Raw genomic sequence first — 23,576 nt, 5'->3', positions numbered from 1 at the left:
GAGACATATATATCGAAAGAGAAAACAGGACAGAGAAATAGGTTATTAAGTGAAGCGAGGGGATAGGAATGCATAGCAAGGCGGGAGAGGAGATGGAAACATGCAGAGAGAGGAGATCCGGACGGTGAAAAGGGGCGGAGGCGCGAGCGGCCGGGTCCCTGGGCTGCGCTCCGGCGACGGCCGCCCGAGACGGGTGTCGAGGACAGGGATCGCGGAGGATGTGGATCCCCTCCCTGGCCTGCCCAGGCGCGCGCGTCCCTCCGTCTCGGGGTACGCAGCCCGGCCGGGCGCACTCGCCGTTTCCGGGCCGGCGGGGCAGCCACCGGGACAAGGGCCACAGCGCCCCCGCCGCCCGGCCAAGGACGCGCAGCCCGCGCCTCCGCCCCGCCCCGCCGGCGCGACCCGCACGGGCGCGCCCCCCGCAGAGGGGCGTCGGCACAAAGCCGCCCCACACAATGGCCCGGCCCGGCGCAGCCCGCCCTGCAACCCGGCTCCGCGCAGCTGCACTCACATCTGGGCAACGAGGGCCTGTGGTCCACGGGCACCCAGATCTTCTGCACTCGGCTCTGCGTCAGTTCCAACGGCATCTTCGCGGCTGCGCCCGACGGCCCGCCTCCCGGGGCCGAGATCCCGACGCTGGCAGGAGAGCGGCCGCCGACCCCCGGAACAAAGGAGGAGAGGGGGGCGTGCGCCGGCGCGCGGCCGGGCGTTTCCTGCGCTGCCAGGGGAAACGTGCTTTGGGCTAAGTTCCGGACCCTCGCCTGTGCGGGGCTCGACGTGTGCTGCGAGGGTAGCGAGGCTGGGGATGCCCGGCACGGCCGGCTCGTCCGCTCGGAAAGCTCTGGGATGCTCGGGCGCAGTGACAGCCGCGCTCTCGCCACCAGGCCCTGCTGCTCGCCTCCTCTCCGGCTTGGCTGGGATGCCCCGCGCACCGCCGGCTTTTAAAGAGTCCGGGCTGGCCGCAGACGCGTACGTCAGCCTCGGGGCGGGCCGCATTCCTTGGGTCCCAGCCCCCTTCCACGTGGGGAGGAGGGTGGGCGAGCCGGGAAGCAGCCTGCGAGCTCCCCCTGCGGGCCGGCGACGGCGGTGCACCAGCTCCCGCCGCCCTGCCCCGGGCCTGGAGCGCGCCCAGCCCTGCTGAAGGGTCCTGGCTGCTGTTATCCCCTCGTCCCGTTGTCCCCTCGGGACGTCTGGCACAGCTTCCCCGACTAATTCCGGCCCCTCACCTCAACTGTGCTGGCCGGGAGGAGAGCAGAGACGCAGTCCTGCCCAGTGTAGACCGTGGACCCCGCAGCCGAATCCCTTGGGAAGCTGCTTAAAGTGCATCCTACCAATGCAGCTCCTTTAGGGCCATGGAGCCCCAATACTCTGCATTCCTAACACGCGCTGTGGGGCAGGCGCAGTCCAGGTAAGGACATGGGCCAGGCTGCTCCCTGATAATACCCGTGAGCCCATCCCCCGCCACGACCCGGGCGACCCGCGGGGAGGAGGCTTCCCTGATCCTCCCACCTCACCTCGTCCTTGTCCACTTTGCTGAATCCCTTAGAAACCTGGACTTGAACTGAGCCTTGCTCCCCTCCCCTAGCCCAAAGACTGGGAACCTTGAGAGGCCCGCGGTGCTGGGTACGAGGAGGGGGCGGGAAAGCCCCGGGGAGCTGGACTGAAGTGGACTGGGGCTGGGGGCAGCTGGCATCTGGTTTTCACACTCACCATGTACACCATTCAATAAACCTTTATCGCCCCGAGTAGAAGAATGAATAAAACTAGACCCATTTCGATCTGCAATTCATTACCTAAGTCGAGGGAAAACTATTGGGGGCGGCCCCTTATTAGGCAGACTCCTAAAATTCACTCCGTTATCCTGCACACCCTGCAGCTCTGCCTCCCCACTTTTTGGTGCATGCGTGCCCCGTCTCCTTTCCCGGCCCTCGCAGTTTGCACCAGCTCGCGACTTGTGACAGTCGTGCAGTCAGGTCAGAGGCGTGCGGGGAAGATCTGGGTTGCTTTTGGTGGGGAACCGCCGCCCGCGCCGGGACGGATGTAACTTTTGCAAACGAAGCCTCAGTACGGGAGCGCTGCGCCGCCTTGCAGAGAGGTGCACACTTAGCGCTGAGGCTGGGCTGTGATTGGAGGGAAGGCGGCGCTCGCTGAAACCTACACCGCGGCGGAAAAGTCTGCGCAGAGGCTGCCACACGTCGCTCACGTCCCGCATGCTCCACAGGGAGGGCGCCCGCGCCCAGGCGGCGACCGGGGCTGCTCCCGCCCCGCGCGCCCGCCCCACCCGGGCCTCCACTCCTCCCGACCCGCCGCCTGCCGAGGGGCCCCGGAACGCGCAACATCGGCCACCTGGCCTGTGCCCCGCCACCCTCCCCCACGCCTCGACCCCCACTCCCCCTCCCGCCTCGACCCCCACTCCGGCACCCCGCCCCCCGCGCCGCCCTCTCAGAGCCCCTGTTCCCGCGACAGCTTTGCTGACGGTCTGGTTTCCGCGCTCTGGCGGCTGTTCAGAAACCCGATGCGTTGCATTTGGACTTGTTTTCTGCAGTGGGAGCACATGCCAGAGGCGACACCCTAAACGCCCAGGGGAGAGTCCCACTCCACTCCTGAAATAAGAGTGGGCTGACCCGAAGAGGGAAACAGCAGGCAGCGAGCGCCCGCGCCACCGGGACGAGTTCCCGCCCTGGGGTTCGCGGGGGTCGGGGAGGGCTGTAGGCTGCGCGCGGGGAGAGCGGCTGCACCCCTGCAAAGAGCGCCCGCGGTTCCTGGGGAATGACGGTGCACCTGCGCGCCCGCTGCTTGCCCACCGATTTTGCACACGTACAGGCGAGGCAAGCGGACCAGGGGGCCTTCTTCCACACTCCCTACAAGCTTGCAAACACTGCTGGTTTCAGCTCACAGGGAGAGCAGAGAGACGGCGTCTGCCCCAGCAGCGGCACATCATTCATCTCTTGACCTAGATAACGCATCTGACAGCGGTCAGCTCTTAGGGCACAGGGAGTTGATGTCCCGGAGGTCCAGCTGAACTTTCGCAGACCGGGCACTTTTCCTGTCTGTCAATAACGCGTTCCGAGTCTAGAGGGAAGACTATGTTCTTCCCCCATTCGCCTCCTGCACTTGCTCTGCAGCAGGCAAAAGGAAGTTAACTCAATCCCCGCCCCACCACCACCCCCCGCCCCCCCCCCCCCCCCGCTCCTTACATCTAAGTGCAAACTGGGAGTGCGTGGGAGCAAGGACGAATGCACACCTGTTTTTGTTTTTTTAATGGCCAGCTAGAACTCCTGGCAGCCTTTACAGCCCCAGGTAAGTTAGGGTAGAGCCCTCATGAGAGATGAAACTGCTTCACTACAAAATCACTTATAAACAACCCAACTGCAACTGTATTCTGGTAATTTACTGGTTCCGAGTTTACTAGTTTGGACATCCTCCTAACTCATTCCCTAGCTCTGCTAATGCCCCATCTTCACCCCAAATGTCCAACTAGGGCTTGGCCAACTTCCCTCCTACTAACCTGGGTATCACAAAGGCGGCCCTTCAGAAAACGCTCCCAATAACGTAAATGTTCCTCTAATACGATGATTCTTTTACAGCTACAATAACACCAAGGCTAGCGCAGATTGATGATTTCTCCTAGGTCGTGGTCCTAGAAACTATGAAAGATAGAAGGAAACTTCAAGACTACCTAGTCAACCCCACTTGCTTTATGGGAAGAAGTAAAGGGAGTTGAGATTAGAGTAGTCAAGGAACCAGGTCAGAGATCAAAGAAGAAAGCCAATTAGGAGCAGAGTTTGCTGGGGTTTTTGTTGGTTTTGTTGGTTTGTTTTTGTTTTTCCCTTCTGCTTGACACGGACGCAGATAGCTAGCTCCCTAGGAGACTCATTATAGGGCCACCCTAACCCCAGGGTGCTGAGTGGAATCCTAATTTAGCCGCTGATCAGGCTGTGATTCAGACTCACCTAGAACAATTGAGCTGTTTGGGAAGGAAAGGTCAGAGAAGGACCTTCCGTGAGTAGAATGAGACATTAGCAGGGCAATTATTGAAAATGATCCTGGCCAGTGCAGTGGTTCGCACCTGTAATCCCAGCACTTTGGGTGGCTCAGGCGGACGGATTGCTTGAGCTCAGGAGTTAAGAGACCAGCCTGGGCAACATGAAACCCCATCTCTGCAAAAAAAAAAAAAAAAAAAAAAAAATTTAAAAATAGCTGGGCATGGTGGCTCGCACCTGTGGTCCCAGTTATTTTGGAGACTGAGGTGGGAGGATCACCTGAGCCCAGGAGGCAGAGGTTGCAGTGAGCTGTGATTGCACCATTGCACTCCAGCCTGGGTGACAGAGTGAGACCCTGTCACAAAAAAAGAAAAAAAAAAAAGCAAGTGCCTGGTGAGGTGCTCACATAGCTGAATTCACTGAGCTCGGTCCAGCCTTGAGAGGACAGTGGAGTGGTTTTTCTCCAGGATCACCTTTGTTCCCACACTTCTGTGCCAGCCAATGTCATCTAACTCCTACCAGTGCTTCCAAATGCTGCTGTAACAACAAACACAAGCAACCGCATTTCCGTGATCCTGTGCCAGCCATAGCCAGGTTAAAACGTTCAAACCAAGCTAGGACCTACCCGCTGCCCCAGAGAGAGTGAGGTGACAAGCATGGTAGTCTGGGAGCAATCAGAAGTTGCTCATTAGACACCAAGTGTCACTATTTGCTCTTGAGAAAAATCCCATGTATGAGGGAGAGAAGTGAGACACCAAACAAAACACTGAAACAAACCCTTCCATCATCACCAGCCAAAGACACGGGGAGGGGGCTCTTATTTCAATAAATTATTTGTAACTCACACATGATTGAGAACAGAGACTGAGACTATCCACACAATGTCATGTTGGGGGTTCGAAAAACCAATTCATAACATGCACATAGATGTTTATACCAGCTTTATTGGTAATTGTTAAAATATGGAAACAACCAAGATGTCCTTTGGTAGGTAAATGGATAAACTATGGAACATCCAAACAATGGAATATGATGCCGTTCTAAAGAGAAATGAGCTATCAAGTCATGAAAAGACATGGAGAGGCCAGGTGTGGTGGCTCACGCCTGTAATCCCAGTACTTTGGGAGGCCAAGGCGGGCAGATCACTTGAGGTCAGGAGTTCGAGACCAGCCTGGCCAACATGGCAAAACCTCGTCTTTACTAAAAATACAAAAATTAGCTGGGTGTGGTGGTACACACCTGTAATCCCAGCTACTCGGGAGGCTGAGGCACAAGAATCACTTGAACCCAGGAGGTGGAGGTTGCAGTGAGCCAAGATTGTGCCACTGCACTCCAGCCTGAGTGACAGAGCGAGACTCTGTCTCAAAAAAAATTATTATTTTTCTACAAATATCATATATTTTTCTCCAATCTAGTGGACTTAGTGTCTCATTAAGTGGATGTGAGGAGAATACACAGCAGCCATAGCCTGGCTCTGGGTGAAGTGACTCAAATTGCTCAACTTAAGTCCCGGCAAACCCTCCAGTAAGTTTCCATTTCTCTCTGCCCCGACCCTGTCACTCCATCTCCTGTGGGCATTTCCTTTTCTTTTCTTTTCTTTTTCTTTTTTTTTTTTTTTTGAGACGGAGTCTCATGCTATCACCCTGGTTGGAGTGCAGTGGTACCATCTCGGCTTACTGCCACCTCCGCCTCTCAGGTTCAAGCGATTCTCCTGCCTCAGCCTCCTGAGTAACTGGTATTACAGGCTTGTGCCACCATGCTTGGCTAATTTTTTTTGTATCTTTAGTAGAGACAGCATTTCACCATGTTGGCCAGTCTGGTCTTGAACTCCTGACCTCAGATGATTTATCTAAGTAAATTGTTCCAGAAAATAGAAAAGAATAAAAGCAACTCTAGTCATTTCTGAGGCTAGCATAACCTTGATTGGTAAAACAAAAAGTAAAAGAAAAGGAAATTTTAAGTTCATTTTATTTATGACAGACAGAGATATAAGATTCCTATGTAAAATATTAGATCGTGAGAGCCAACCATATACAGTTGACCTTGAACAACACATTTGAATCACACAGGTACACCTACTTTCTCCTGCCTCTGCCACCCCTGAGACAGCAAGACCAGCCCCCTCTTCCTCCTTCCCAGTCTACTCAACATGAAGACGACAGAGAGGAAGACCTTTATGAGGATTCACTTCCACTTAAGGAATAATGAATATGTTTTATCTTCCTTAAAAAAAAAATAAAAGATGTGGAGGATGGCTTGAGCTTTTTGTGTATTTCTCAAAAGTTTTAAGATGTCCTAATTTATTGGTCAAGCAAAAGAAGAAGAAAAGAAATACAGTCATGTGTTGGCTAATGATGGGGATATGTTCTGAGAAATGCATCACTAAGCAATTCCGTCATTGTGCAAACATCACAGAGTGAACTTACACAAACCTAGATGGCAGAGCCTACTACACATCTAGGTTACATGGTATAGCCTGTTGCTCCTAGGGTACAAACCTGTACAGCATGTGACTCTACAGAATACTGTAGGCAACTGTAACACAATGGTAGGTATTTGTATATCTAAACATAGAAAATGTACTGTAAGGCCAGGTGCTGTGGCTCACACCTGTAATCCTAGAACTTTGAGAAGCCGAGGTGGGTGGATCATCTGAGTTCAGGAGTTCGAGACCAGCCTGACCAACATGGTAAAACTACTAAAAGTACAAAAATTAGCTGGGCATGGTGGCGGGGACCTATAATCCTAGCTACTTGGGAGGCTGAGGCAGGACAATCGCTTGAACCTGGGAGGCAGAGGCTGCAGTGAGCCGAGATCACGCCATTGCACTCCAGCCTGGGGGACAGAGCAAGACTCTGTCTCAAAAATAATAATAATAATAATAATAAGTACAGTAAAAATGCAGTATAAAAGATTAAAACAAGCCAGGTACAGTGGCTCAGGCCTGTAATCCCAGCACTTTGGGAGCGTGACGGGGGGAGGATTGCTTAAGGACAGGAATTTGAGACCAGCCTGGGCAACATAGCAAGACTCCATCTGTGATGGTGAATACTGAGTGTCAAGATGATTGGATTGAAAAATCCTGGGTGTGTCTGTGAGGGTGTTGCCAAAGGAGATTAACATTTGAGTGAGTGGACTGGGAGAGGCAGACCCACCCTCCGTCTGGGTGGACACCATCTAATCAGCTGCCAGCAGGGCCCGAACAAAAGCAGGCAGAAGACCGTGGAAAGACTAGACTGGCTTAGTCTCTGCGCCTACATCTTTCTCCTGTGCTGAATGCTTCCTGCCCTCAAACATCAGACTCCAAATTCTTCAGCTTTGGGACTCTTGGACCTTTGACCACAGACTGAAGGCTGCACTATTAACTTCCCACTTTTGAGGTTTTGGGACCTGGACTGGCTTCCTTGCTCCTCAGCTTGCAGACGGCCTATTGTGGACCTCACCTTGTGATCGTGGGAGTCAATGCTCCTTAATAAACTCCCCTTATATATACATCTATCCTATTAGTTCTGTCCCTCTACAGAACCCTGACTAATCCACCATCTCTACAAAAAATAATACAAAAAATTAGCCGGGTGTGGTAGCAGGCGCCTGTGGTCCCAGCTACTTGGGAGGCTGAGGTGGAAGAATCGCTTGAACCGGGAGGTGGAGGCTGCAGTGAGTTGTGATTGCACCAGTGCACTCCAGCCTAGGAGACAGAGCGAGACTCCATCTCAAAAAAGAAAAAAAAAAAAAAGGCAAGCTCACGAGGCAGCACCCTGCTGCCCGTGCTGTCTCATGTGCCTTGGCTCTCAATATCTCTCCCGCCCTCTCCCCCGAATAGTGTTTGTCCTTATGAAAGCAAAAGAGGAAGGAGAGCCAGAAAGCTTGATTCTGGAAAATTCCTCTCAAAGTCTTGAAAACAAGGGGAGGGGTAGAGTAGAAAAAGAGCAGGATGTTGGAACCCGCAACCTTGCCACATTAAGTAGTGACGGGCCTCACCTCCCCAAAGGAGATCACCATCTGCCATGAGAATAAGTGAATGGAAAATGGACTGAGAAACTCACGTATCACACCACCTTGGCTCTGCCAGAGCAGCCAGGACAGTAGCCCGAATTCTCCCTTCTCTGCCTCGCCACACACAATGGCCCCTAACTCCCACCTACCTTCTCCCCCAAGAGAATTCTGCGGGGAGCCCCCCGAATACTCTCTGCTGGCAGTTGTGATCCTCCTGGAAGTGAACCACGTTTATCTGCATTCTCTTACCAGTTTGCTTGGTGACTCAGTCTCCCTGGGTACACTGCCAAAACCAACTTCTAGAGGAAAGTCTGAGTCCTGGGCCGCAGTGACCCCATGCAGACATGGCCAGCCACCTAGGAGGCATGTCAGGGTTGCAGGGGCCCTTGAACACTTGGATCTTGCTTGTTTTCATGCTTAGCCATGGAACTATGTCCTAGAACATGAGTAGCTTTGTTTCTTGCCAGACAATTCCTCAGTATTGTGCAGACCCAGACACAACAAGATGAAGAAAACTCTAGACGTCTGTGAGGCCCAGATAAACCCGATGGAACAGCCCTGGGCAAAGCCCCATTCAGGGTAGGGGAAACATGGCCACTACTAATGCCTAAACCACCCCACCCCATGTCTCCTCTCTAAGGGTCTTCTATGACCCTGACACCATCTTCTTCCAAAGCGTGGATGAAAAAGGAACAGGAGGCGAGCGCAGTGGCTCACGCCTGTAATCCCAGCACTTTGGGAGGCTGAGGCAGGCAGATCACTTTAGCTCAGGAGTTCAAGACCAGACTGACCAATGTGGTGAAACCCCATCTCTATAAAAATACAAAAATTAGCCAGGTATGGTAAGAGGTGCCTGTAATCCCAGCTACTCGGGAGGCCAAGGCAGGAGAATAGCTCGAACCTGGGAGGCGGAGGTTGCAGTGAGCCGAGATTGCGCCACTGCATTCCAGCCTGGGTGATAGAGCAAGACTCAGTCTCAAAAAAAAAAAAAGAAAAAAGAAAAGAAACAGGAGCAAAAGCCCATCCTTGCCATGAGAAGAGTGTTGGTGTTCTATGCCCTTCACAGAGTGAAGCTCTAAGTGCAGCACCAGGCAAACTGTGCAAAGGGACAAATCAGGTGGTCACTCCAAGGCCCTTGAAAGCTCTTGGGCCAGCTTCCCACTGAATCCACAAACCCCTGTTGAAGAGTCCTGGGATCCTCAGCTTAGACCTCTGGCTCTTTGGCTCCAAGCTGTTTGCTCCATTATCAGATGGCGCTACTGGCTAGAAAGACATTGCTTACACTAAGCTGAGTTGATCTTCCTGGAAATGCCCCCTTGTCTCTTTCTGTTGCTGCACATGGGTTAAGCCTGCATCCCCCTCCAACAACAGGTGCTCGCCCTTAAATGTTTGAAAGCAGCTGTCACGTCCCATTGAAACAGGCATCCTTCAGGCTAAGGAGCCCGCTCCTAGACTTTAGCGCAGCGGAAACATAGTTTTCAAAAGTCTGTGCAATTCACCAAAGAGTGAGTTCATCTTGTGATGTCAAGAGCTGAATTAATCAGGGACTCAAGAAGCAATTCCAGGGAACCTCTGCATATCTAGGTTTAGAGACTCAACCGTGATGAACCAGGCTTGTCTTATCTCCAAAGCTTTTATCCAATAGGAATGGGAGGGCAAGACAGTGACTGCGGTAGGTGGCTGGGGACGTGGCTTGGGAGTTAGGAACCCCAACCTGGTTTCTGACCCTCTCTACACCTCGTCTAGACCTCTGCTCCCTTATCTGTCTAAGCATCTCTTCCACTTCCCAAATGGCAGACACCAATGGTTCCCATTGTTCTCAATGAAATACAAATATTAATAGAAACTGTCAGGCCTCTGAGCCCAAGCTAAGCCATCATATCCCCAGTGACCTGCACATATACATCCAGATGGCCTGAAGCAACTGAAGATTCACAGAAGTGAAAATCGACTTAACTGATGATATTCCACCATTGTGATTTGTTTCTGCCCCAACCTAACTGATCAATGTACTTTGTAATCTCCCCCACCCTTAAGAAGGTTCTTTACAATCTCCCCCACCCTTAAGAAGTTTCTTTGTAATTCTCCCCACCCTTGAGAATGTACTTTCTGAGATCCACCCACTGCCCCCAAAACATTGCTCTTAACTCCACCGCCTATCCCAAAACCTATAAGAACCAATGATAATCCCACCACCCTTTGCTGACTCCTTTTTTGGACTCAGCCCGCCTGCACCCAGGTGAAATCAACAGCCTTGTTGCTCACATAAAGCCTGTTTGGCAGTCTCTCCACACGGACACCTGAGACAGAAACCTGAGAGTAATCACTGGACTACAGGCAACTTAGAAACAGGGACAGCTGTTCATCTTTGAATCACCAGATCCTACCACAGTGTCCGACATGGAGAAGGTGTTCAATCTATGCTTGCTTAATGAATGAATGAATGTTTACCTTTGCAGCGATTCAACTAATGGATACACAATACTTTTTTGTTTTGTTTTGTTTTGTTTTTTTGAGACAGGGTCTGGCTCTGTTGCCCAGACTGCAGTGCAGTGGTGCAATCACACAAACTCTAGTGCAGCCTAGAGTTTCTGGGCTCAAACTGTCCTCCCACTTCAGCCTCCCGAGTATCTGGGATTATGGGCGCATGCCACCACACTCAACTAATTTCTATCTTTTGTTTTTGTAGAGACAGGGGGTCTCATTATGCTGCCCAGGCTGGTCTCAAACTCCTGGCCTCAAGCAAATCTCCTGCCTTTCAAAGTGATGGGATTACAGGCATAAGCCACCATGTCCAACCTCAATATATAATCCTAAGTAGGAGCGAGTACTGGCTCACATAAGAAGCTGGAAGCAGCTTCCATAAATCCTGCAGGGCTCTGAGGTGGACAGACAGCCATTCACAGTAAAATCATCTGTAGAATGAGAACAGCAGCCCCATCTACCTCAAGAGGTCCTTACGAAGACCAAACTGGATATGAGCAAAAGCACTTTTGGAAAAACTATAAAGTATTAGGTCAACCAATCCCTGGATGAGCACTTTTTGTAACTGTGCAAGCCCACCCCAGATGTCTGAATAGATTCCCTCTGATCTGGGCTGCTCTATGATTTGGTCTTCACCCCTTGGTTTCCCCAGCAGATCAGTGACATCCCCCAACACACACACACACACACACACACACACACACACACACACACACACACGGGTGAGGGGAAGAGTCAATGTCAAAACAACTGAGTTTCCTAACCCAGGACTAGGGAGAACAGAAACTGGAACCCAGATCACGTTCTGCTGGGTATGGGAAGCATGCCCGGGTGACCCGCAGGGGCCAGGCAAGGCCGGCCCATGACTGCAGTGTAAACACATGCCACGGAGCAACCCTAGGCTGGCAAGCCACAGCTGGCACCTCTCCCTGCTCTGTTCCCCTCATATTTCTTCCTTCTCCCAGTGGAAAACATTCTAAAAATAGAGCCAAATCAAGCCAAAAAAAAAAAAAAAAAAGAAGAAAGAAAAAAAAAACGGGCAGGTTTTGGACAGCGATGCTAGCTGCTGACGAGATGTTAGGAAACCTCCAGGCTGGGCTGGATCAATGTGTAGGGTTCATATGAGAGAATGGGACGGTCTGTCATCGCCAGTGTTGAGACTGGATCGTGTTCCCTTCTGTGTACTCCTCCTCAGAAAGCTGTGTGTGTGTGTGTGTGTGTGTGTGTGTGTGTGTGTGTGTGTGTATTGGGGAATGTCATTGACTCTGCTGGGTAAATCAAGGAGTGAAGGCCAAATCACAGAGTAGCCAAGATCAGAAGAAATCTATTCAGACATCTGGGGTGGGCCTGGATAGTTAAAAAAAATACTCATCTAGGGATTGATTGAATACAATTTTACCAAGAGTGCTTTTGCTCATATCCAATTTGGTCTTCATAAACTCATCTACCCCCAGAGAACGGCGACCAGGGTGTCCGAGCCACCTGGACACCATCCCTACGAGAAACGGCTAAAGAGCGAGACAGGGAGAAGGAACAAGGCTGTGACAGGAGTTAGAGCCACTGACGAAGGCGCGGGGGTTGTCGTGCATCGCGTTGCTCCTGTGAACAGAAACCAGATGCTGATTTGAAGGTAGAAAGAGATGCCTTCTCTGTACAGTGGACAGCGGTGGGCCAGAGGGACGGCAAATGCAGCAGCCAGATCCTACCTGTCGAAACCATTCCAGAGGGACTTCCCCAACAGCTGCGACTCAAACTCGCTGGCTTCTGACTAGCCCTGGACGTAAGGATCCTGTGATTCTAGGGGGGGCCCGAGCCCCCATCCCAGCTCTACCTCTCAGCAACTCTGTGACTTTGCACAATGCACTGTCCTGCACCTCAAGTTCAGAATGATCTCGGGGTTCTCTGTGTAAAAGTCTCTGAGTCTAGAACTGCTATATTAAGTGAAACCGCTGATGGAACAGTGAGGCATACATTTGACCAAGTTGGGTAGTCCAGGGGCTAGGAGCCCTAGATTGGGTGGGACATTCCTTTGTCAAGACCCTTGGCACGCAACGGGTCTTGAGCGGTCCCTGCTGGTGGGGATTCAGAGTGTGATATGGGGTTCACACCCTAAGTAGAAATAGTTCTGTTTCAATTTCTAACTTCTTAATCAATCAACGTATTTTTAACAAATGTATCTTTAAATAATTTTCCTGTGGCAGCCTTCGGTGTTCGGCCACTTGACAGCTTGAAATAGATTTAATCTTTGTTATTTCGTATGTCATGTATACCCACAATTGATCACTGTTGAAAGACAGGAAGTTGGCTGGGTGTCGTGGCTCACCCTTGTAATCCCAGCACTTTGAGAGGCCGAAGAACTGGGAGGATCGCTTAAGCCCAGGAGTTCAAGACCAGCCTGGCCAATATGGAGAAACTCCATCTCTACAAAAACTACAAAAATTAGCTGGGCATGTTGGCAGACGCCTATAATCCCAGCTACTCAGGAGGCTGAGGCACCAGAATTCCTTGAACCGGGGAGGCGGAGGTTGCACTGAGCCAAGATCGCACCACTGCACTCCAGCCTGGGTGACAGAGCAAGACCCTATCTCCGAAATAAATAGAGACATGAGGCACAGAAAACCCTGATGTTGAAATAGAAGTTAATGGGAAGATGATGTGGATATATCAAGAAACACACGAGCCTATTCTAAAGGGTTCCCCACTGGCCAAATCTGGTACAATCTGTTGTTTTTGTTTTTGTTTTTTTGTAGGGATGGGGTCTCACGATGTTGCCCAGGTTGGTTTCAAATTCCCAGCCTCAAGCAGTCCCCCCTGCCTCAGTCTCCCAAAGTGCTGGATTATAGGCATGAGCCACTGCACCCAAAATCCTGTACAATGTGAACAACAAAATGAATAATGATAGTAATAGACTAAAACCCAGAGAAACATAGGAACACATGAATCCACTCAACTGTGGATACAATGAATGAATGAATGCATGTAGGAGATGGGAAAGCTTTTCCTTAGAGTAGAATATCAACAAATAAGTACAGAAGGAACGACGGAATCTGTAGGTCATCCCTGGGTAATCACTGCAGGAATAATTGTTTCACACAAGAATCACCGAGTGGGTGGAAGCTTGATAACAAACAAGATATTTGCAGCTGGGCGTGGTGGCTCACGCCTGTAATCTCAGCACTTTGAGAGGCCAAGGCGGGTGGATCACTTGAGGCCAGGAGTTTAAGACCAGCCTGGCCAACATGGTGAAACTCCATCTCCACTAAAAACACAAAAATTAGCTGGGCGTGGTCATGGGTGCCTGTAATCCCAGCTACTCGGAAGGCTGAGGCAGGAGAATCACTTGAACCCGGAAGGCAGAGGTTGCAGTGAGCCGAGATCACACCACTGCACTCCAGCCTGGATGACAAAGCGAGACTCCATCTCAAAAATAAAAAATAAAAACAGATATTTGCAGAGACTCAAAATATCTCCCCACAGAATCCTTACTTATCACAAAGGGACAAAATAGTGACCATATAGTAGAGAAAACTGGCGGGCACCATCTTTAAGCAAGTGATAAAGTTACCCTCAAGCCAGGTGCAGTGGCTCACGCCTGTAATCCCAGCACTCTGGGAGGCCGAGGCGGGCGGATCACTTGAGGTCAGGAGTTCGAGACCAGCCTGTCCAACATGGTGAAACCCCATCACTACTAAAAATACAAAAATTAGCTGGGCTTGGTGGTGCATGCCTGTAGTCCCAGCTACTCGGGAGGCTGAGGCAGGAGAATCGCTTGAACCTGGGAGGTGGTGGTTGTAGTGAGCAGAGATCGCGCCACTGCACTCCAGCCTGGGTGACAGAGCGAGACTGTCTCCCAAAAAAAAAAAAAAAAAAAAGTGAACCTCACCATCAGCAGTCTGGTCTGTGACAGGCACATCACTACTACTCGAGCATCCCTGACAAACACACAGAACCTAAAGCTAATTAGGAAGAAGCAACAGATGGACCCAAGTTCTAAATATTCTAAAAAATTCTAAAAAATAAGTGACCTTATTTTCTAAAAACTAAGGATATTCTAAAAAAATTAGGGATATTCTAAAAAATAAGTGACCTGACTCTGGAAGAGATACGTGCACACGTATGCCCATTGCAGCATCATTCACAATAGCAAACAGGTAAAGCAACCAAAGTGTCCATCGACAGATGGAATGCATGAGCCAAATGTGGAATTTACAGACAATTGAATATTAGCCTTAAAAAGGAAGGAAATCGCCAGGTGCGGTGGCTCACGCCTGTAATCCCAGCACTTTGGGAGGCCAAGGCGGGCGGATCACGAGGTCAGGAGATCGAGACCATCCTGGCTAACACAGTGAAACCCCGTTTCCACTAAAAAATTTTTTTAAAAAATTAGCCGGGCAAGGTGGCGGGCGCCTGTAGTCCCAGCTACTCGGGAGGCTGAGGCAGGAGAATGGCGTGAACCTGGGAGGCGGAGCTTGCAGTGAGCCGAGATCGCGCCACTGCACTCCAGCCTGGGGGACAGAGCGAGACTCCGTCTAAAAAAAAAAAAAAAAAAAAAAAAATTAAAAGGAAGGAAATCCGTCAGAGCTACACCAGAGGTCAACCTTAAGGACTTTTTGCTAAGCGAAGCAGGCCAGATATAGAAAGAAAAACACCGTATGATTCCACTTACACAAGGTCACTACAAGAGATTCACAGAAACAGAAAGCAGAACGGGGGACGTCAGGGGCAGGCGGTGGGGGAAATTAGGAATTGTTGTTTATTGGGTGCAGAGTTTCAGTTTTATAAGATGAAAAGGTTCTAGAGATCTATTGCACAATGGCGTGAATACATCTAACACTACTGAACTGTACACATTTAAAAATGATTAAGATGGTAGATTTTGTGTCACACATTTTTATCGCATTTTAAACTTTTGAAAAAAAATGTTTAAAAAAAAATCAGTGCCTGCACTTTTCAAAAATACAAAGGCCATGAGAGGCAGCAAAGATTGAGGACACACTAGATGAAAGGCTTGTGAGCCTGGATGAAACCTTGAATCACTCTAAATGTTGTTCTTGATTTTGCTAAAGGTAAAGAGCAGTAGTGGGAAAATTGGTGAGACTTGAAGTTTGCATATTAGATAACAGAACTGTATCAGTGTTGATATCCTGATTTCAATCATGATACTGTGCTCGTTTTGAGGAAATACACCCTGAAGTACTTAGGGACAAAAGGGCATCATGTCTGCGTCTAACTCTCAAATGGTTCAGAAAAAAAAATAGGGGCTGGGCACGACATATATTTCTCTCTGTCTTCAGACACACACACACGCACACGTACACACATATATCCATATAAATATATTTTCTCTTCCTCTTTATGAGGCAGATATATATATATATATATGTAGGTAGGTAAATGGATGGATGGATAGATAGATAGATAGATAGATAGATAGAAATGGAGAGGGAGAGAATGATAGAGGAGTCAAATGGTAACACTTGCAGAATCTAGGTGAGAGTGCTATGGAACACTTTGCACTATTTCTGCAACTTTTCTATTAAGTCTGGAATTATTTCAAAACAGCTAAAACTCAGAAATGTTAAAGTTCATGAGAAGTATAAATGCTAATAATTCTGCACATTCACCTCAAAAGGATGATCCTCAGTTTCGGAAGGTGCACACTTCTGAGCAAAATTCTTACCTTTTTTAAACCCATGGCAGCTAAAAATTCTATTTTGAATAAACAATGAATCAAGACATCACTAATATTTCAAACACCAATGCTGAAAGATAATGACAAATACATTTAATTTGACTTTCCATTTGCTGACAACGAAAGACCTGCCCAACGTGAAATGAGTAATTTGTAGAGACGCAGCCTAGAGCAGTTGTCTAAACTTCTCCCATCTCATCACTTACTGTACATGAGACAGCGTAATATAAACCACACTGCACCTGTTACACTATTTAAATACCAAGCTACTACTGGCAGTAAGGCGAAGTGAGATAGGACAAAAAGGCCCTTGCCTTTTCACTTTTTTTTCTGAGACGGAGTATCACTCTGTGGCCCAGGCTGGAGTGCAGTGGTGCAATCTCAGCTCACTGCAACCCCCACCTCCCTGGTTCAAGCAATTCTCCTGCCTCAGCCTCCCAAGTAGCTGGGATTACAGGCACCCACCACCATGTCCAGCTAATTTTTTTTTTTTTAGTAGAAACAGGGATTCACCATGTTGGCCAGGCTGGTCTTGAACTCCCAACCTTCAGTGATCTGCCCGCCTTGGCCTCCCAAAATGCTGGGATTACAGGTATGAGTCGCTGCGCCCGGCTGCCTTTTCACTTTCGAGACAACTTTTCAGAAGCCCACACCGCACTTCCACATTGGTCTCCCCTGCCAGCTTCAGTCGTGGCGGCACACCTCCCCGCAAATGCAGGGAGGCAACATAGCCTCTGAGCTGGGCAACTGCCTGGGATTCTGCTACTGAGGAAGCAAGGAGAAGGGGTATTGGGGGATGCTAGCAGTCTCAGCCACAGTATCTTCTTCCTATAACATACTTTTTCAACAAGCACCTTCTAAAACATAGCCTTTTATTACAAAAAGAACGAATAAAGGCTAGGTGCAGTGGCTCACACCTGTAATCCCAGCACTTTGGGAGGCTGAGGTGGGAGGATGGCTTGAGACCAGGAGTTTGAGACCAGCCTGGGCAGCATAGCAAGACCCCATCTCTACAAAAAATGAGAAATTGTTTAAGAGCGAGAAAAGATACTACACTTTGCAGCCAGACAAGACCATGATGTTTATACATTTAATCTCCAATCCACATACACAGTGCCATTCTTGAAATGATCTGTGACAAATTCAGTTTCCCCTGATAACTAAATAGCATGTAGTAATAGTAAAAGAAAGGTGAAGGTGAATTTCACTTTATGTGGGGGCACTGTTCACTGGTATACCTGCGACCACTCCACACTGCTCAGCTGAATGAACCTTGATTGGCTAATGGAGGGAGACAGAGACTCCCAGTTTCAGAAAAAGTTATTTTCCATTCCATCCACAGGAATGAGTCATCACTGGGCCCATCTACCCCTTTGCTGAGGATGCCACAGGATGTGGTCGTGTGATTAGTTCCATGGAGTTAAGCCACTGCTGGTCCAGTATCCAGTTACTTACAGCCAAAAGCATCCCTAACTATGAAGTATATTATGAATATCATTAAAATGCTAATACAAACTTTCTAATTAGAATATTAATATTAAAATAAAAAACAAAATAGTTTTATTTCTAATCATTTCTCCATCATATACCACCGAAAACACCACCAATCACCTTCCTATTCTGGCCTTGCTCTATCTCTGACAGCCAGGGTCACCAGTAGTTCTACTGGGCCACCAAGGTTCCTGCTCTTCCCTATCAGCAAGACTTTATACCACTGGGAGAGGGGCTCGAGTTCTTAAAACTGGAGGACAGGGGCCAGGCGCGGTGGCTCATGCCTGTAATCCCAGCACTTTGGGAGGCTGAGGCAGGTGGATCACCTGAGGTCAGGAGTTCAAGACCAGCCTGGCCAACATGGCGAAACCCTGTCTCAACTAAAAATACAAAAATTAGCTGGGCGTGGTGGTGGGTGCCTGTAATCCCAGCTACTCGGGAGGCTGAGGCAGGAAAATCGCTTGAACCCAGGAGGCAGAGGTTGCAGTGAGCCGAAATCTCACATTGCACTCCAGCCTTGGTGACAAAAGTGAAACTCCATCTCAAAAAAAAAAAAAAAAAAGGAGCGGGGAGGAAGTACTGATCTGGTATAACTGGGTGAGGGCCTGAGTGCCAGGTAGTGACCCAGATGAGCCCCTGGCTGGACCACAGGTCCAGCAGCACCCGGTGGAAGAGGGGCGAGACCAGAGGTGAGCCGATGGGAGACCCTGGCGTCCCTCTGCCGTCTCCTCGCCCCCGCAGTGGCCTGTTTCTATGGTGTGTTCTCTCCATCCTTGTGAAAACGTGTTTTCAGAAAAGAATGTAAGCCTCATGTGAAGTTATCAATGACTGATAAACAGCTTAGTGGCTAACCCTCCTGCCACTGTGAGTAAGCGGATGAGTGGAACCAGCTCGGAACGGCCCACCCCAAGGGGCCTTGTAAAGAGATTACGGAGGAAGCCAGCAGTTCTTTCTGTAATCCACCCCCAGCAGAGGGATCAAAGGAGAGGAGCAGAGAAAGAGCTGAGAGTCCTTGTGGGCAGAGAGTGATGTGTCTCAAGGCCACAGAGGCCCTCGTGGGGCGTGCCGTGGTCACCCTAGTGCTTCTTCCTCTAGTGTCCTCATGGAAATAACTGGGCCTCCTGGTTATTTAAATCAGGGTTTTTGTGTCGGGTTTCAATAAATTGAGATCCAGGCTAACTTGTTAAATAATCTGGGGAGAGAAAAAGAGTGAACGTGCGAAGCTGATGGCTAAGTCTGACCATGGTGGAGATCAGTGGCTTTCAATACCTGTGGCACGTAAGAGCCATGAGGAAGGCCGGCAGGCTGGCTCACGCCTGTAGCCCCAACACTTTGGGAGGCCGAGATGGGAGGATCACTTGAGCCCAGGAGTTTGGGACCAGCCTGGGCAACACAGCTAAACACGCTCTCTTAAAAAAAAAAAAAAAAAAGGCCAGGCGCGGTGACTCACACCTGTAATTCCAGCACTTTGGGAGGCCGAGGCAGGTGGATCACCTGAGGTCAGGAGTTCGAAACCAGCCTGGCCAACGTGGTAAAACCCCCGTCTCTACTGAAAATACAAAAATTAGCCAGGCACAGTGGTGGGAGCCTGTAATCCCAGTTCCTCAGGAGGCTGAGGCAGGAGAATCACTTGAACCTGGGAGGCAGAGGTTGCAGTGAGCCGAGATCACACCATTGCACTCCAGCCTGGGTGACAAGAGTGAGACTCCATCTCAAAAAATACAAAATAAAAAAAAGAATCACCAAGGAACTTCAAAACTACCCATTGTGTCAACCCCATCCCAGACCGATTAAACCAGAATTGCCAGGATGGGGCTTTTGGGGGTGCAATGTTTAAAAAGCTTCTCCAGGCTGGGTGTGGTAGCTCACACCTGTAATCCTAGCACTTTGTGGAGCTGAGGCAGGCAGATCACCTGAGGTCAGAAGCTCGAGACCAGGCTGGACAACATGGCGAAACCCCGTCTCTACTAAAAATACAAAAATTAACCGGGCGTGGTGGTGGGCACCTACAACCCCAGCTACTCGGGAGGCTGACGCACAAGGATCACTTGAACCCAGAAGGCGGAGATTGCAGTGAGCCGAGATGGCACCACTGCACTCCAGTCTGGGCAACAGAGCAAGATTCTGTCTCAAAAATAAAATAAAATAAAATAAAAAACAAAAAGCATCTCCAGTGATGCTCATGCCTGTCATGTAAAGATTCCAGCTTTGAGGCCAGGCGCGGTGGCTCACACCTGTAATCCCAGCACTTTGGGAGGGCGAGGCGGGTGGATCACGAGGTCAGGAGATCAAGACCACCCTGGCTAACACGGTGAAACCCCGTCTCTACTAAAAATATAAAAAAAAATTAGCCGGGCGTGGTGGCAGTTGTCTGTAGTCCCAACTACTTGGGAGGCTGAGGCAGGAGAATGGCGTGAACCCGGGAGGCAGAGCTTGCAGTGAGCCGAGATCACGCCACTGCACTCCAGCCTGGGTGACAGAGCGAGACTCTGTCTCAAAAAAAAAAATTAAAAAAAAAATTCCTGCTTTCAAAACTATACATGTAATTATTTATATATTATTTATATACATATATATATATATATATTTTTTTTTTTTTTGACCAGGCTGGTCTCGAACTCCTGACCTCAGGTGATTCACCTGCCTCAGCCTCCCAAAGTGCTGGGATTACAGGCATGAGCCACCACACCAGGCCAGACTCCAGTTTTCACTGCCACCTACCATGGTGCCAGCTACAAGCCCAGCTTCAGGCTGGTGGGGCTGGGGCACCTGACTGCAAGCATTCTATTCCTTGTTGAGGAAATGAGACAGGTGCACAGGAAGCAGTTAGTAAACAGAATCCTAGTGGAGCTGGAGGTGTTTTAGAGATAATTTGTGAGCAAAAAAATAGTCTAGATTCTAGAATAAGCCAACCCCAAAGTTGGCGTGGTGCTGGGCCTGCGGACTTTTCTCCTGTGTGGCTTATGACAAGCCATTCCGCAGCTGTTCAAAGTCTTTGTGCTTTGTTTTTGAGAATGAAGAACTGGGTGATCTTCTGAAAGAAGATTGGATAAATTCTTAGGACCCTAAACTACTAGGTAGTTTCCAGAGAAAATCCCCTGCAACTCCAGGGAGAACAGAGGTGTGACACAGAAGGACCAAGTCTCCTAGGTTTGGGGCTGGGGCGTGTATGGGCTGTGGCTGTGCACTGTGTCCTGGAGCCAGGGACCGTGCTGGGCACCGCCCCATCCATGTTCTCAACCTGTGGCGACAGGTGGGTCTGTGGGGCCCCATAGTCCTTCCAGCTGACCCTCTGTGAAGCAAGTGAAGACCCTGGGGGGCTGGGAAGGGCACTGCTCTGTCTGGCAGAGGCTCAGCCCTCTGCCCTCCTGCCCTGGCCATGGACACTGGACTGCAAGGCGAACTTCACTGCATTTGGATTTCGCCCAGCTAAGCCAGGAAAGCACTGGGCAGTCCTGCCCGCTCCTCCAGCTCCCCCTGCCCCCACACCCAGGCTCTGATTCTTAGCCTGGTGTGGCACAAGCCTAGAAGGGGAACAGGGCCTGAGGCTGGGAGACAATGACAGGCGGGGGCCTCGAGGCCACATCCCGGCACTCCCGCTCGGGACCTACTGCTCTGCTGGAAGCTTTGCACTTGTGATGAAACACAGTGCTGGCGTGGAGACCTGGCCTGGGAGGTCTGGCGAAGGGATCGGCCTGGGACTTCAAAGGCCCCTCATTCTCCCCAGCCAGCTCGGCCCTAGGATGGAAAGGCTGCCGGCAGCACCAGGACCGCTTCCTTCCCAGCCTCCACTCCAGATTAGTCTTAGGTGCAGGACAACTTGTTTGTGACACTGCTGCTGCAGTGGGGAGGTCTCCCAGCTCAGACCCTCCTGCACCCAGACCCCCAGTCTAGACCTCAAGGGGTGTGTGTGTGCGTGCTTCTGTGTGAATGTTGGGGGGATGCATATGCAAGAGAGAAGGGGGTGGTGAGAAGCGGGCTGGCCTTTGCCCAGAAAAGCCAGGTGAGGGATTAGAGAGAAAACTTGGGGAGACAGGGAGGAAGAATCCGCCAAGACTGAGGAGGCCAGAAGCCAGGGACCTCAGCTCCAACTCTTATCTTTTGCTTTTTGTTTTATTGTAGCAAAACATACATAAAATTGTCCATTTTCCCCATCTTTAGGCACACAGTTCAGGGCAGTAAGCACAATCACAGTGTTATGCAGCCATCGCTACCATCCAGCTCCAGAATTTTTCCATCTTCTCCAATGGAAACTGTGTCCCCATTTAAACACCAGCTCCCCATTCTCCCTCCCCAGCCCCTGGCCACCTCCATTCTACTTTGTCTCTGTGAGTGTGATTCTTCTAGAGATCGCATATGAGTGGAATCATGCAGTATTTGTCTTTTTTTTTTTTTTTTTTTTTTTAAACGGAGTCTTACTCTATCGCCCAGGCTGGAGTGCAGTGGCACAATCTTGGCTCACTGCAGCCTTGAGCACCTGGGCTCAAGTGATCCTCCCACCCTAGCCTCCTGAGTAACTAGGCCCACAGATGTGTCCCACCACACCCTGCAGTGAGGCCTCGCTATGTTTCCCAGGCTGGTCTTGAACTCCTGGACTGAACCAATCCTCCCGCCTCAGCCTCCCAAAGTGTTGGGATTACAGGCGTGAGCCACTGCACCCAGCCAGTATTTGTCTTTTTATGTCTCGCTTATTTCACTCAGAACATTGTCTTCAGGGCTGATGTATGTTGTAGCATATGTCAGCATTTCCTTCTTGTTTAAGGCTGCATAATATTCCACTGTGTGGATGGGCCATATTTTGCTTATCTGTTCATCCCTCCATGGAACTTGGGTTGCTCCCACCTCTTTGTTACTGTGAATAATGCTGATATAAACATGGGCGTGGGCTGCGTGCAGAGGCTCATGACTATAATCCCAGCTACTGAGGCTGAGACTAGAGGATCACTCCAGGCCAGGAGTTTGAGACCAGCAGAGCCAACACAGCAAGACTTTATCTCTACAAAACATTTTTTTGGAAATACTAGTCAGGTGTGATGGCACACACCTACAGTACTGGCTGCTTGGGAGGCTGAGGTGGGGCGATAGCTTGAGCCCAGGAGTTTGAGGTTACAGTGTACTATGACTGCACCACTGCACTCCAGCCTGAGCGACAGAGCCAGACTCTGTCTCTAAAATAATTACAAATGAAAATAAAATAGAACATGGGTGTGACAAATATCTGTTCTAGTCTCTGTTTCACTTCCAAACTTTATCTTTTAAAGAGGTATCAGCCTCTGTCACGTGATCAGGATACATCTTAGTTTTAGGAACACATACCACAATTCTGCTACTTGCCAGAGAACTAACACACAGAGTAGAACATCTTAGTTTGGGTCATTAAAAGTAAAGCACTCAGAACACAGAATTGCATACATTGGTGATAAACTATATTAAAATAACCTAGGGCACGGTGGCTTGCACCTGTAATCTCAGCACTTTGGAAGGTGAGGTGAGAGGACTGCTTGAGGCCAGGGGTTTGAGACCAGCCTGGACAACATAGCAAGACCCCATCTCTACAAAAAATTTAAAGATTAGCCAGGTGTGGTGAAGCACACCTGTAGTTTCAGCTACTCAGGAGGCTGACACAAGAGGATTGTTTGAGCCCAGGAGTTTGAGGCTGCAGTGAGCCACGGCTGAGCCACTGTACTCCAGCTTGGGCAAAGTGGGAGACTCTGTCAAAAAACAAAACAAAACAGCAACAAAACCAAAGGAAAGAAAAGAAAAAACTTGAAGAAAATTGAAATGTTAACAATGGCTATTCTGCTATGTAATTATGAATGATTTCTTTCTTCATATTTTCCTGTCCTTTGTACAATAAGCCTGTTGTTAATGTTAGGAAAAAATATTACATGGTCCCCCTCAATCTGATTGCTTTAAGCCTGACTCTGGAA

General features: G+C 49.7%; 1 protein-coding gene and 1 long non-coding RNA gene across 19 annotated transcripts in view, besides 12 other annotated features; one reads left to right on the top strand and one right to left on the bottom strand.

Annotated features, from left to right (window-relative positions):
* PFKFB3 (6-phosphofructo-2-kinase/fructose-2,6-biphosphatase 3) overlaps nucleotides 1–23,576 on the bottom strand; it is a 181,717-nt gene that overhangs the window by 122,790 nt on the left and 35,351 nt on the right. For 10 of the 18 annotated variants that reach the window (NM_001363545.2, NM_001323017.2, NM_001314063.2 and 7 more), the window contains exon 1: nucleotides 512–916. The exons of the other annotated variants lie outside the window; for them this stretch is intronic. In NM_001363545.2, coding sequence (NP_001350474.1) covers nucleotides 512–587 — 76 coding nt within the window. In that variant the 5' untranslated portion in view covers nucleotides 588–916. Of the gene's footprint in view, nucleotides 1–511; nucleotides 917–23,576 lie in introns of those variants that run through there. 18 annotated transcript variants of the gene reach the window in all.
* Nucleotides 74–583: a silencer, noted in NCBI's record as "silent region_2106". NCBI's record gives its function as "represses an Ori minimal core promoter by ATAC-STARR-seq in GM12878 lymphoblastoid cells {active_cell/tissue: GM12878}" and the evidence as "EXISTENCE:reporter gene assay evidence [ECO:0000049][PMID:35858748]".
* Nucleotides 704–813: a silencer, noted in NCBI's record as "silent region_2105". NCBI's record gives its function as "represses an Ori minimal core promoter by ATAC-STARR-seq in GM12878 lymphoblastoid cells {active_cell/tissue: GM12878}" and the evidence as "EXISTENCE:reporter gene assay evidence [ECO:0000049][PMID:35858748]".
* Nucleotides 704–1,691: a biological region, named in NCBI's record as "H3K4me1 hESC enhancer GRCh37_chr10:6244120-6244624". NCBI's record gives its function as "regulatory_interactions: PFKFB3".
* Nucleotides 722–1,253: a transcriptional cis regulatory region, noted in NCBI's record as "chr10:6244558-6245089 region (GRCh37/hg19 assembly coordinates) targeted for CRISPR interference". NCBI's record gives its function as "positively regulates PFKFB3 gene expression in Jurkat T cells {active_cell/tissue: Jurkat}" and the evidence as "EXISTENCE:mutant phenotype evidence [ECO:0000015][PMID:33828297]".
* Nucleotides 864–1,193: a silencer, noted in NCBI's record as "silent region_2104". NCBI's record gives its function as "represses an Ori minimal core promoter by ATAC-STARR-seq in GM12878 lymphoblastoid cells {active_cell/tissue: GM12878}" and the evidence as "EXISTENCE:reporter gene assay evidence [ECO:0000049][PMID:35858748]".
* On the top strand, nucleotides 1,091–6,243 carry PFKFB3-AS1 (PFKFB3 antisense RNA 1). The gene is made up of 2 exons (XR_007062045.1): nucleotides 1,091–1,408; nucleotides 6,053–6,243. It is a non-coding gene; the product is annotated as a PFKFB3 antisense RNA 1 (long non-coding RNA).
* Nucleotides 1,187–1,691: an enhancer, noted in NCBI's record as "H3K4me1 hESC enhancer chr10:6244120-6244624 (GRCh37/hg19 assembly coordinates)". NCBI's record gives its function as "activates a minimal SCP1, AML or CMV promoter by ChIP-STARR-seq in primed H9 embryonic stem cells {active_cell/tissue: H9 hESC(primed)}" and the evidence as "EXISTENCE:reporter gene assay evidence [ECO:0000049][PMID:30033119]".
* Nucleotides 2,224–2,443: a silencer, noted in NCBI's record as "silent region_2103". NCBI's record gives its function as "represses an Ori minimal core promoter by ATAC-STARR-seq in GM12878 lymphoblastoid cells {active_cell/tissue: GM12878}" and the evidence as "EXISTENCE:reporter gene assay evidence [ECO:0000049][PMID:35858748]".
* Nucleotides 2,224–2,762: a biological region, named in NCBI's record as "H3K27ac-H3K4me1 hESC enhancer GRCh37_chr10:6243049-6243565".
* Nucleotides 2,246–2,762: an enhancer, noted in NCBI's record as "H3K27ac-H3K4me1 hESC enhancer chr10:6243049-6243565 (GRCh37/hg19 assembly coordinates)". NCBI's record gives its function as "activates a minimal SCP1, AML or CMV promoter by ChIP-STARR-seq in naive and primed H9 embryonic stem cells {active_cell/tissue: H9 hESC(naive and primed)}" and the evidence as "EXISTENCE:reporter gene assay evidence [ECO:0000049][PMID:30033119]".
* Nucleotides 2,763–3,280: an enhancer, noted in NCBI's record as "H3K27ac-H3K4me1 hESC enhancer chr10:6242531-6243048 (GRCh37/hg19 assembly coordinates)". NCBI's record gives its function as "activates a minimal SCP1, AML or CMV promoter by ChIP-STARR-seq in primed H9 embryonic stem cells {active_cell/tissue: H9 hESC(primed)}" and the evidence as "EXISTENCE:reporter gene assay evidence [ECO:0000049][PMID:30033119]".
* Nucleotides 16,294–16,353: a silencer, noted in NCBI's record as "silent region_2102". NCBI's record gives its function as "represses an Ori minimal core promoter by ATAC-STARR-seq in GM12878 lymphoblastoid cells {active_cell/tissue: GM12878}" and the evidence as "EXISTENCE:reporter gene assay evidence [ECO:0000049][PMID:35858748]".
* Nucleotides 20,555–21,146: an enhancer, noted in NCBI's record as "H3K27ac-H3K4me1 hESC enhancer chr10:6224665-6225256 (GRCh37/hg19 assembly coordinates)". NCBI's record gives its function as "activates a minimal SCP1, AML or CMV promoter by ChIP-STARR-seq in primed H9 embryonic stem cells {active_cell/tissue: H9 hESC(primed)}" and the evidence as "EXISTENCE:reporter gene assay evidence [ECO:0000049][PMID:30033119]".

This window comes from Homo sapiens, chromosome 10, assembly GCF_000001405.40.
Source record: "Homo sapiens chromosome 10, GRCh38.p14 Primary Assembly".
Lineage (NCBI taxonomy): Eukaryota > Metazoa > Chordata > Mammalia > Primates > Hominidae > Homo > Homo sapiens.
This window is presented reverse-complemented; position numbering and strand designations above follow the sequence as displayed.